Source organism: Homo sapiens, chromosome 3, assembly GCF_000001405.40.
Source record: "Homo sapiens chromosome 3, GRCh38.p14 Primary Assembly".
Classification (NCBI taxonomy): domain Eukaryota; kingdom Metazoa; phylum Chordata; class Mammalia; order Primates; family Hominidae; genus Homo; species Homo sapiens.
This window is the reverse complement of record NC_000003.12, coordinates 15168730-15181267: the sequence shown is the minus strand read 5'-3', so window position 1 is coordinate 15181267 and position 12538 is coordinate 15168730. Positions and strand designations below refer to the sequence as shown.

General features: G+C 41.3%; 1 pseudogene across 1 annotated transcript in view; it reads left to right on the top strand.

Annotated features, from left to right (window-relative positions):
* The window catches only part of COL6A4P1 (collagen type VI alpha 4 pseudogene 1), a 40598-nt pseudogene that overhangs the window by 24692 nt on the left and 3368 nt on the right, over nucleotides 1–12538 (top strand). The window contains exons 2-4 of the transcript NR_027927.1: nucleotides 3081–3683; nucleotides 5917–6505; nucleotides 10691–11320. The product of NR_027927.1 is annotated as a collagen type VI alpha 4 pseudogene 1 (transcript). The remainder of the gene's footprint in view (nucleotides 1–3080; nucleotides 3684–5916; nucleotides 6506–10690; nucleotides 11321–12538) is intronic.

Below are 12538 nucleotides of genomic sequence, written 5' to 3'. Positions count from 1 at the left end.
CTTTTATAGCCACATCTGGACAACTTTAAATAGTGAAGTCTGAGGTGTACACTCTGGGTGTTTACAAAATTCTTCCCGAGTTGGATCAGCAAGACCATTTTCCTTGCACAATTGAAACAATGTGGGAACATTTCCCTCTTTATTTTGATAAAGCCTATGTTGATGTGGGGAAAGACATCCTTATGCTTTAAAAAAATCAACTTCATGAGGCATAATTTATAGTCAATGTGTTGGACACATTTTAAGTGCATGAAGGCACATTTTTTAATTACAAGGTTTCTTCTTTTCTCTAGGTCCACATCTAGAATGGAGACTTGGAAGATATTTTGGGGGATCATCCTCCTTGAAGCTGGTTTTGGCTTCAAGTCACAGAGGATTGGTAATACCTGGGTTTCTTTAAGCTGAAAACCATCTAGTGGTAGTGACCATCTTAAAAGGAAATATTACAGAAGCTTCAGAATTAATAAGAGGCAATCGATTCATTGAAGGAGAATTTAGTCAGAATCTGGAAGCTTATAGTGAATGGTGGGCACTTGTTTTTTCAGTACTTAACCCCAAATGACAAAAAAATAGATATTAAAAACTTCCATACTCTGAAATGTATTACTAGGTTCTCAAACGCTTTTGTAAACAGGAGTCTGTTCTGCATTCTGCCTTTTCTCTTCGGCAGAGCTGTTCTGAGGAGTAATTATCATCACAAGACGGATCGCTTCACTGAGTGCTAGTGACACATCTGCAATTTTTTGCAGTTATTTTAATAGATTGTTGGGACTTTCCAAGATGAAAGTCTCATCAGAAGAAGATTATTTGAGTAGCCTGAAGTGCCAGTGAGACAATATTGAGGTTTAAATATTCAAATATAATTACACAGGCTGTTATTTGTTGGGGGAAAAAAAAACCATGAAGCTCTCTCAGTTTTCCTTTTGGCTCTGACTCCCTTCACTTGTGAACAGAAGCTGTGACAGTCTTTTCATGTTTCAAACACCTTCTAAAACATTCAAAGAACTAGTGGAGGGGTTAAGAAAGTGACAGTCTACGAAAATGTAATACATCTCTCAAGTTGCATATGATAGAACTGAAACTTACTTGCCTTGAAAATATTCTACAGCTGTGTGGTTTCCTCTGATTTGAAAGATCAGGGAAACACTTCGTGGTTTGCATTTGATCACCCCTGAAAGAGATGTTAAGGCGACAAGCCAGTCAGCCATCCCTGGAACAGTCATTGAATTCTCCCAGTAAGACTGCACTTTGGAGGGTTGAAGGGAAATAAAGCTTAAAGGACCTGAAGTTCATTTATTGTCTGCCTTTTCCATGATCAGATTCCACTTGGCTTTATGACCAATGTTATGCAAACTTCTGAGAGGTGGGACCCAGGACTCCAGAAGTGACAAGTGGATTAAGTGTCCCTGGATTATACCAACCTCCCCAAGCCCTCTCTGTCTAGACTCTCACTTGGTCTTTGCCTTTCTGTAATATGGATTTCTAATTTAATCTTCATGGCAGTTCAGGGTATGGACTAGATATCAGGAGACCTGGGTCCTAATTCTGGCTCTTTGAATGGATTTACATGAGTTACTTTGCCTTTCCAGGTCTTATTTTCCTTCTCTTTGAGATAGCTGAATTGGACTCCTTATTTTATACTTGTACTGTCCAATACAGGGGCCACCAGCTGCATGTGACTCTCTGAATTAAAATAAATCAAAATTCAGTAAAATATGAAGTTCAGTTTCTGTTATACTAGCTACATTTCACGTGCTCAGTTGCCACATGTCTAGCAGCTACAGTCTCATATAATTATTTCTAGCACTAAAATTTTAATTCCATTATTTGTTTTCATTAATGTTCAAGATTTCCATCCTTATAAGTGCTGTCTCTTTCCTTTCTCTCTTTTCCTCTATTCTTTCCTTCCTCAATATTTTTGGGTATCTGCTCTATGCTAGATGCTCATGTGGTGAACAAACAAACAAAATACATGGTTATCTGTTCTCATGGATCTCACAGTCTAGTTGGGGAAATTGCCATTAACTAAATAAGCACAATCATGAATGTTACATTACAAACAAAGATAAAAGAACATGATCCTATGAGAATTTACCAAAATTTGCTCCAGTCCTGCAGCCACTTGGTGTCTGATGTCTTCCATGCTGGAGGCCAGGATGGGCCCAGATGGGGTACCAATGGGCCTGGCCACTGTTGAGATGGTGGTTTCCAGGCTTGTAGCTGGGGCTGGGGAGAAGTAGCTGCATAGTGCAGCTTGAGCTCAGGGAGCCAAAAGACAAATGTGAGCCACAAGTATAGGAATGCCAACGATCAAACTAAAAGGGGCTGGTGGTGGCCAGGGAGTACAGAAGTCAAAGCTGGAAAGCTGATGTCTTAGGTCAGGTTCCCTGGAAGCAGAGTTTGGGACAGGGATTTGAGTGCATTATTTTGAGAAAGTACTCTTTAGGAAAAAAATCTGTAAGGGAGTAACAGAAGTGGGTTAGAGTAGGGGATGAAGACAATAGGTAAAGTCAAGCCTTGGCCTGAGTCATGAGAGGTGGTGATGGAGTCTAAATAACACTGCAGGGTTGTTTCACTGAAGGCAAGTGGGCCAGGCATTTGTATCTCCATGTTGATTAGACATTGGCCACCCAGGGTGGTGGTAGTGGTGTAACATCCCAGGCGTCTCCAATTGAGGCCACTCCCTTCAGCCAAGGTTAGGACTCTGGAGAAAGTCACAGGTAGTACTTAAAGCAGCTGGGGGATAGGTGTGCCAACCAGTAAAGGCGATCTAGGTGGGTACCAACAGCATCCACTACTGGTAGAAAACTGGGTTCTTTTATTTAGGTCAAGGGATGAATGGAAAGCAGGGTGGGTGATCTAACTGAAGGGCCAAATGTCTATTAGAATGGAACAGAGAGTGGTAGGTGAGCAGGGGAAGATGGTAGCCATGGGAATACAAGGGAAGATGATGGTGTGTCTAGGCTGCATGCTGTGCAGGCAGATCTGTGGGGAGTAAAGGCTCTGAGTCTGGAGAGATGGGATTCCAGCCAGTAACTGTCATTTGTTATGTTTTATCTGAAAGTGACTCTCTTTCCTAGTCTGCAGGGAAGCCTCTCTGGGAGATGTTGTGTTTCTGGTGGACACCAACATCAACCCCCAACATGCACGCAGTGTGCGGAACTTCTTGTACATTCTGGTAAACAGCTTCAACGTCAGCAGTGAGACCATCCGTGTGGGTCTGGCCAAGTATAGCGATGTGCCCCATTCAGAGTTCTTGCTTTCCACCTACCACCGCAAAGGTGATGTGTTGAGACACATTCGGCAGTTTCAATTTAAGCCTGGGGGCAAGAAGATGGGCCTGGCCCTGAAGTTCATTCTAGACCACCACTTCCAGGAAGCATCAGGGAGCCGGGCAAGCCAAGAGGTACCTCAGATCGCCGTGGTGATCAGCAGTGGGCCAGTTGAGGACCATGTCCATGGACCTGCGAAGGCATTGAGGAAGGCAGGCATCCTGCTTTATGCTATTGGCGTCAGAGATGCAGTTTGGGCAGAGCTCAGGGAAATTGCCAGTAGTCCTCAGGAGAATTTTACCTCCTTTGTTCCTAACTTCTCTGGTCTGAGCAATCTCGCCCAGAAGCTGCGGCAGGAACTCTGTGATACGTTGGCAAAGGCAGCTCCACATGTTGACCACGTCTCTCCAGGTACAAAGGCTTTTTATTCTTAATTTCTGATCTGGAAGTCATGAAACTCAAAGCTTGGTCTCTTATTCATCCCTCTGCCCATCCTTCTTATTTTTCATATGTGTGCATGTTTTAATTTTAAAATTAAAATTTCATGAAGCCAACCCTATGCTCCTCTTCAATCACTGACCAAAGCCTCATCAGCTCTTTTTATAAATCCTGTGGGCCTTATGCTGGTTCTATATACGATATAGTATAAGTCCATTTTTGAATGAAGATTTATTTGTTTCTAGAATGACATTATTATTCCTAGGTTAACTTACCCATGTTGCCTGGATGAAGGATGGGAAGGGAGAGGGGCAGTAGTTCCCCTAGGATGTTTGCTAATTTAACTGCAAGCCTGTTGGTTTAATATACTGGTTAAGATTATAGATTATTAATTTAGGGAAAATAAAGATCTGTGTTCAAATCTTACAAAGTAGAGAAAGGGTAATCTTAGACAAGTTACTTTACCTCTCTGAATCTAAATTTTCTTCCTAGGATGATAGTACCTGCCTCAGAGAGTTGTTAAAAACATTAAACAAAATTGTGCAAGTAAAGTGCTTGGCACTATACCTGGCCAACCAGAGGTACTCATAAACATTACCTGTTATTACTTGTCATAACCTGTGATGATGATATGCCTGTCATCAACTTTGTGCTTCTATTGGTGATAGGGCATAAAATGGTGAAAATTCTTTATAAATTAATTACTAACCTCCATAATAAAGCATACAACTTTGAGTAGAGAAAGAGAAGAATGCTTGTGGGCTCCATCAAAACCCACAAAAGGACAGACTCTTCATGATTTATTCATTATTTTGGTATTTCTGTATAGGGTATTTTAATTGGAAGAAGTGCTAAAACTTTTGACCCATTGATGCAGCAGGTGTGTGGTGGTAGTATTGCATTTGTATGGGCAAATAAATATTATATATCTTCCTTTTGTACAGCACTTCAAGGTTTACAAAGAAATTTTATATTCATAGTAATAATAGCTACTATTTGCCTGGCGTTGTATAGTTTTCAAAACTTATTTATATTGCTCATCTGACTGATCATCTCAACTTTGTTAGATACGTAGGGTAATTAGTATTATTGTTTGCATTTTTCAGATAAGAAAACTGAAGCCAAAGTTACCACAAGTGGATTGCAGAACTAGGGACTTGATCCCAGATCTTTTAGAGCAGAGCCATTCCACTAGAGCAGGGCTGTTAGGTTGTATTCCTGGGGAGCAGGGCCTGAAACAAGAATTTGGATACACATGATTTGCTAAGGAAGAGCTCCCGGGGCAATGGTCAGTAAGGATGTGGGGTATTCAGGACAGAGAAGTAGAGAAAAGTAAGGAAGGGTGTGATTTCAGGCAAAAATTCTGTAAGGGATTTTAGCCTGATCCTGCAGGGGAGTTTGGTGTACATTATGCCTCAAAGTTGTCTTGACCCTGAATCTGGGTCAAGCAAGGATCTGGGCTTTTAAATATTGTGAGAAAAGTAGCTTTACTAGCTGGAGGGTAGTTTTCCAAAGAGCAGTGCATAGAATGGTAAAAAAGAAATCCAAAAGGACTGAGCAGAACATGACATTGTCTGCTGCAGTAGATTATCTTATTTTATCCTCAAAACAACCTTGGGAGAGTATGAGGGTTGGTGTAAAGATTTCAGTGCTGCAGAGAGGAAAATTAAATCTCAAAGAAGTGAGTGTTAAATAGGTCACAGAGCTATTAAATGATAGAGCTGCAATAAGATGTGTCAAGGAACATGGGATATATTCCAGCTTTCTGACCAGCTGGTGCCAGCACACTCCTAGATATGAGGTTTCTTTGTCAAAAGATAGGAGGCTGATGGCTTTTTCTGACTGGAAAGAATACATTCCCTTTCTCAGCATGTTGCTTAATTTACAGAGTGCTTTTCTTCTTAATAAAATTTAAGGGATTATCTAAGTGGATTTCAAGGTTGGAAGTATCGGTAGAGCAGGTCTGAAATCTCAGAAGGTGATGGAGCAGAGAGAAGGAAAGGTACAGGGGGATGTTAATGTTATTGCTCTGAGCACATTGTCATTTGGGGTGAGGGTAGCGTCTGAGGACCACTAAGTATAGGCTGCCTGCCATTATTCTTCTTTTCTGCGTTGGTTCCAAGCAGCTTGAACCATTTGTTCAATGGTTCAAAGCATTTTGAGTGAAGATCCAGTAATCCAATCCCTTTTGCCGTCTCTCTTATAGCTTGCAGAGAAGCAGCCCTGGCAGACATTGTGTTTCTAGTAGACAGTTCAACTAGCATCGGACCCCAAAACTTCCAGAAAGTCAAGAACTTCCTTTACTCCGTCATCTTGGGGCTTGACATCAGCAGTGACCGTGTCCGAGTGGGACTTGCCCAGTATAATGACAACATCTACCCAGCCTTCCAGCTGAACCAGCACCCTCTGAAGAGCATGATCTTGGAGCAGATCCAGAATCTGCCATACCGCACAGGAGGCACAAACACAGGGAGCGCCCTGGAGTTTATCAGGACCAACTATTTGACTGAGGAGTCTGGCAGTCGGGCCAAGGACAGAGTTCCTCAGATAGTTATCCTGGTGACTGACGGGGAGTCAAATGATGAGGTCCAGGAGGTGGCTGACCGGTTGAAAGAAGATGGAGTTGTTGTGTTATGTGGTAGGGGTCAATGTCCAGGATGTCCAAGAGTTGCAAAAAATAACCAGTGAGCCATTTGAGAAGTTTCTCTTCAACACTGAAAACTTCAATATCCTGCAGGATTTTTCAGGAAGTATTCTTCAGACTCTGTGCTCAGCAGTGGAGGGTAAGATAAAAGGTAAGAAGCTGTGTTAGAACCCAAGATTCCAACCATGCCAGCTTACTAAAATATAACCCAGAATATGCTGGGTGTATGGGAGGGAAAGGAGTGCCCAGCATCACTGGAGAACCTGGGGAGGCTTCCTAGGGGAAAGGATTGAAGGCCGGATGGAGTTCTTGTGGGTAGAAAGGAACATCTTGCCATGTTGTTCAAAGGAAACAGCATGGGTTTTGAAAGCCAGAAGACCTGTTTTTTAATCCTGTCTTTGCCACTTTCTAGTTGTGTCAGCAAGGACAAGTGGCTTCACTTTTTCACTTCAATTTTCTCATCTTCACAAAGAAAATAATACTTGTCTAGAAGAAAGGCTTATGAGGATTAAATCAGATAAAATGTATAAAAAGCTCTAGCATAAAATGTATCCTCAGTTAACTTCCCTTGCCTCCTCTATTGTTTGAACAAGAGTAATTGAAAGGTAGGTTAGTATAATAAAACAGACAACAAGGCAGCAGGCTATAAGAGAGGAAAAGCCTTGTGATAGAGTCCCACATAGAGGAAGGGAAGTACAATATACAGAGAGTTGTATAAAGATAGGACTTCTACCTCTCACATTGGGCACACAAAACGATCCTTATATTCAATTTTCATGAGAGTTTGATTTGATTTACTTTCTCCTTTTGTCTTTTTCTGGCCCCCTGGTCTCCCTTTCCCTTTACTTCCAGAATTCATCAAAGCCTATGCAGACATGGTCTTTCTTGCTGACACATCACAAGACACATCACGGGCCAGTTTCCAGAGGATGCAGAATTTCCTCTCCAGAGTGGTTGGCATGCTGGAGGTTGGCAGGGACAAGTACCAAATTGGGCTGGCTCAGTATGGTGACCAAGGTCACACTGAGTTTTTGCTCAATACCTACAAGACCCAGAATGAGATGATAGCTCACATTCATGAGCATTTTGTGCCCCTGGGTTGCTCCAGGAGGACAGGCAAGGCACTGTGATACCTTCTTCAGACATTCTTCCAGGAGGAAGCAGGAAGCAGGTTTCTCCAGGGCATTCCCCAGTATGCAGTGGTCATTAATTCAGGCAAATCAGAGGATGAAGTCCAGGATGCTGCACAGAGACTAAGAGAGAAAGGTGTGAAAGTTATGTCTGTGGGTGTGCAGGACTTTGACAGGAGAGAACTGGAAGGGACGGGATCCCCAGACCTTGTCTATGATGTGCAGAGAGAAGATGAAGTCAGACACATAGTAGAAGATATGAATGTGGTGATCCAAGGGACTAGACAGCAGGAACACAGGATTACAGCCAACGAGGAGGCTGTAGGAGGTAAAGTTTGGTCCTAGAATATGTGAGCCACTGGGAGATCTCAGTGTAAGAGGAAGGTCTGGGGAAAGAGCAGAGAAGGTGGGTATTCTGGATTCCTCAGTACTGGGGCACTAGCACTAGCAGACAGGGAAGAGTAGGAAGCATGAGATGCCTCAGGCACAACCTTGTTTTAGTTAACTATGGTCACAATGATGCTGCATAACAAACTGGGTGAAAAGTCAGTGGCTGAAAAGAATCACTTATTCTCACAGATCGGTTGAGGAACAGCTGATCTTGGCTGGGCCCAAACAAACAGCTTTGCTGATATTGTCTGGGCCTCTTCACAGATTTGGGATTTGTCTGGGTGTTGGTTGATCTAGGTTTGGCTCTGCTCCACATATCTCTCTTCTTATTCCTGGGATCATCAGGCTAGTCTGGGCATATTCTTCTCCTGGTAATTGCAGAGGTACCAGAGAGAAAACCAATTGCATAAGCATTTCTCAAACCTCTGCTGCATCACCTGCTAACATTTCATTGGCTCAAGCCAGTCATATGGCTATGCTGAGATCAGTAGAGTAGAAAAGTATATCTTCCCATGGAAATAAGGAGTAAGGAGATAATATTTCTGAGTAAGAATCTAAATTACCATATACCTTTTCCAGGAGAAGGAGCACTCAGGCTTCTCCCCATAGATTAGATAAAGTACTTCCTTATGTTGGCATCCAAGACACTCAAGGGAGTTACTAATGGCATTTTGGTTAGGACAATTCATAGTGTAGAATTGTCCTGTGCATTGTCAGAGGTTTAATATCCCTAGTTTCTGCCAGTATCATCCCTGAATCATTATGGTAATCCAAAACATCCCCATACATTTCCAAAATGTCCTTTGTAGATAGGTACCACTCTTGGCTGAGAACCACTGAGCCTTATCTCCTGCTAAGTCTTTGTACACATTCTATTCACCGACCAAGCTGAACTACTCATAATTTGCTGTATGTATATCATCCTTTCCAACCTCTGTCTCTGCTCTTGAATACACTATAATATCAGCTTGTGATGCCCACAGTCAAAATTTACCCTTCAGTTCTTAAGTTACCCTCTTGATGAAGCATCCTTTGAGCCCCACAACTAGAAGTGGCCAATTTTTCCTTTCTCAGAATTGTCACACCTCTGCCCAGACCTATCAACAATTAGAGCTTGGGGTCCTTGGAAATTTATGGGCAGAAAAAAGACAAACACATATGTGACAAGAAGAGGAAAATCCAAACAGAGGTAATAAGGAACTAAGAAGCACCTTATGGAGATACTATATTAAGCAGAGATAGATAGTACAAAAGGAGGACATACTAGAGGATGTGGGCTGGAAGGAATTGTGCTGGTCCCTCTATAACAGGTATTATTTTAATATATAGGAGAAAGGAGGAGGGTACTCTGGGCAAGGGGAAGAACCATATAAGGGGTCTACACTCCTGGTAAGGGTATGGAAATGGGAATGGTCTGGATGAATGTGGAAGAAAGTTTAAAAATGGAGCCAATTTGGATCAGTGGAAGAGTATAGAAGTAGTGAGAGATGAGATTGGATTAGGTATGATAGACCCTGACTACAGGATCCCAAAGACACTAGAAGTAATTGGTGGGCAGCTTTTAAGCAAGAAGTATGACATGACCAAAGCAGTCTTTCAGGAAACCTTCAGAGGGCAGGTGGGGTTCCAAATGGCACCTCAGACTCAGAAAGACTTTAAGGCTGAGCTGTCATCTGGCCACATGGAGAGGATGTCTGGGCCCAGCCCAAGGGTGGCTTTGATAATGAGGAAAGGGAAGGAATCCTGAAGACAATTTGAAAGGAGAATAACAGCATTTGGTACAAGAAGGTGAAGGAAGGGAGCTGTCAAAGATGTCTGGAGTTTCTAGCGTTGGTGTTTTAGATTTGCTAAAATTGTGGACAACACCCTTTTTTAAAATCTAGGATTGAATTTTGATTCTTTATGAAAAAGGACCACAGGGGAAATTTCAGGACACCAGGAGACAAAAGAGAAAGTTAAAAGGTTATTCTATTGCCCCTAAACCTTGTTTCACAATATTCAGTTGTTTGCACAGTGGTTTCAAGCTTCTGCATGTATGGTTTTGGCTCTCTGCTAGGGAGATTTCCTTTTTCACAGATCAAAGCAGATACGGACCTTGAAACTATGTGGACACAGTGGGTTTCCCTGCAATAGGCACTGTCTCAAATAGAGAGAGTGGTGTTTGCATTCTTCTTGGCAGCGAGTTTATGTTTTATTCCTTCTGAGGTAAGTCGAAGGGAAAGTTCTTCTGTAGCAAAATGAAACAGCCAGCTGGCCTAATATTTGGATAAAGATTTTTCATAGAAACATGCAACATTTCAGGCTGCCTCTGTTAAAATGACATGATATTCATCAGAGAAGGGTTTAGAAATTAACAGCCACAGTTAATTTTCATCTTTTGGGAGGTTTCAGGCCTATAAATGAGAATTTGACCTAGAGTCTCTTGAAACTAGAAGAATGAAGAAAAATTAGTCAAGACTCAGATTCTTCTGATGGACTTAGATAAATTGAAAAGCAATCTTGAAGCACTTTACTGTCAATATTCATATATTTAAATATTTTGCAAGTGATGTGAATACTCTTCCACATGAGAATTTCTGAAATAGGTATGAACCCTGTGATGTTCTTTGACGATCATGCCAAATAAAGGCTTCTTTTAAATTATAAAATGTAGAAATATAAGTTCATATGATATATATTATTATAATTGTAATAATAAATATATTATGTAACATATAAAATACATCATAGTACAGCTTTTATATATTAATGTTGTCTTTATGTTATATTAATGCTGTTATGCTAAAGCCGTTCTTCCTGATTTTGTCTGTTTGCAGCGTGCGCAACTGCTGTCCCGGCTGACTTAATATTCCTCATTGAGGAATTTAGCAGGGTTAGGCAACCCAATTTCCAACAAGTTGTCAATTTCCTAAAGACCATTGTCAGTTCTCTAAACATTCGTCCTGATACTGTGAGACTTGGCTTGGTCTTCTACAGTGAGGAACCACGACTTGAATTTTCACTGGATGCATTTCAGAATCCAGCCAAAATCTTGGAGCATTTGGACAAATTAACCTACCGGGAAAGAAAAGGAAGGACGAAGACTGGTGCTGCATTAGATTTCCTGAGGAACGAGGTTTTCATTCAGGAGAAGGGTAGCCGGTCCAACCACGGTGTGCAGCAGATAGCTGTAGTCATCACGGAAGGCTTCTCCCAAGACAGAGTATCTAGACCCGCTTCCCACCTCCGAAGGGCAGGCGTCACCATCTATGCAGTGGGCACCCACAATGTCTCAGAGAGTAAGGACCTGGAGAAGATAGCATCATATCCTCCTTGGAAGAATTCAGTCCCCCTGGAATCCTTTTTGCAGCTCTCCATAGTAGGAAGCAAGCTTACACACCAGCTCTGCTCTGAGATGGTGGACAGTAAAGTTTCCATTAGTGGGACGAGCTATCCCCTACAAGAAGGTAGGAGGGTCTTTTCCAAATTTGATGTTTTTAAACAAAAAACTTTTCTTAGTTTTTTTAATTGCTCCATGTACCCATCTCGTCTATCCTCCAACAAAGAAAAGATTTTGAAGTCAATTCATTAAAAAACCAGAAACTGAAACTTTGTTTATCTTGATGCCAAACAATGCAGGAGAATATGAAGTAAAAAGGCAACATTTCTAGCACCTCCCATCTTATCCTTCATCCCTTTTAAAAATTATGTAAATTTTGATCTTGCACTGTCACTCAGACTGGAGTGCAGTGGCACAATCATAGCTCACTGTAACCTTGAACTTCTGGGGTTAAGTGATCCTCCAGCCTCACCGTCCTAAGTAGCTGAGACTACAGGCATGCACTCCCATGCCCAGCTAATTTTATAATCTTTTTTGCAGAGACAGGGTCTCATTATGTTGCCCAGGCAGGTCTCGAATTTCTGGCCTGAAGTGATCCTTGATACTTGGCCTCCCAAAGCTCTGGGATTACAGGTGTGAGCCACCATGTCTGGCCCCCTTCTGTTTTAACAGTTTGATGAAGAGTTGTGTATATTTACAGTAGAAGCCCTAAGGAACCGAGTGTGGACTGATCAAATCTTAAGTCACTGAAGCAGGCAACTACTTTAAAAAGGATACAAACATACTTGAATTTTTAAAATGTTATTTTCTTATTTATTTATTTTCTTCTCAGAAACTATTGTTTCTCACATGAAATTTAAAAAATTAACTTAATACATATAAATGAATGTTAATTTGCCAATCTTTTGGTATAGGGCCAAGGCTTCTTTGAGTATGAGCCCTGCTGATTGGATTTCATGTATTTTCTTTATAAACCATCCAATGTTATGTTATCAATAATTTCCAGTTTCAGTTTCTTTAAAGGAGAGTGACTTTTGAAACAATTCAAAACAGAAACAGAAATAGCTATTGATTTTTATAATCTTAAAAATGCAATCTTTTGTAATGCTATCTAGTACACTGGCAATTTTTTAAAAAATAACTCTTTTATTGAGTCTTTAAAGCAGTTAAGCTGGTTTTCATAGATGCAATAAATCTCTTTTACTCACACTCAAATCCTGCTGATTTGCACAATATTTGATTAATTATGTAATTATAACAACAAAACTGCCATAAACAAGCTGGGGACAAACCCGCCTTCATCTTGGTAAGCTTGTTCTTTCACTGGTTGAAGCGGAACTTCAGG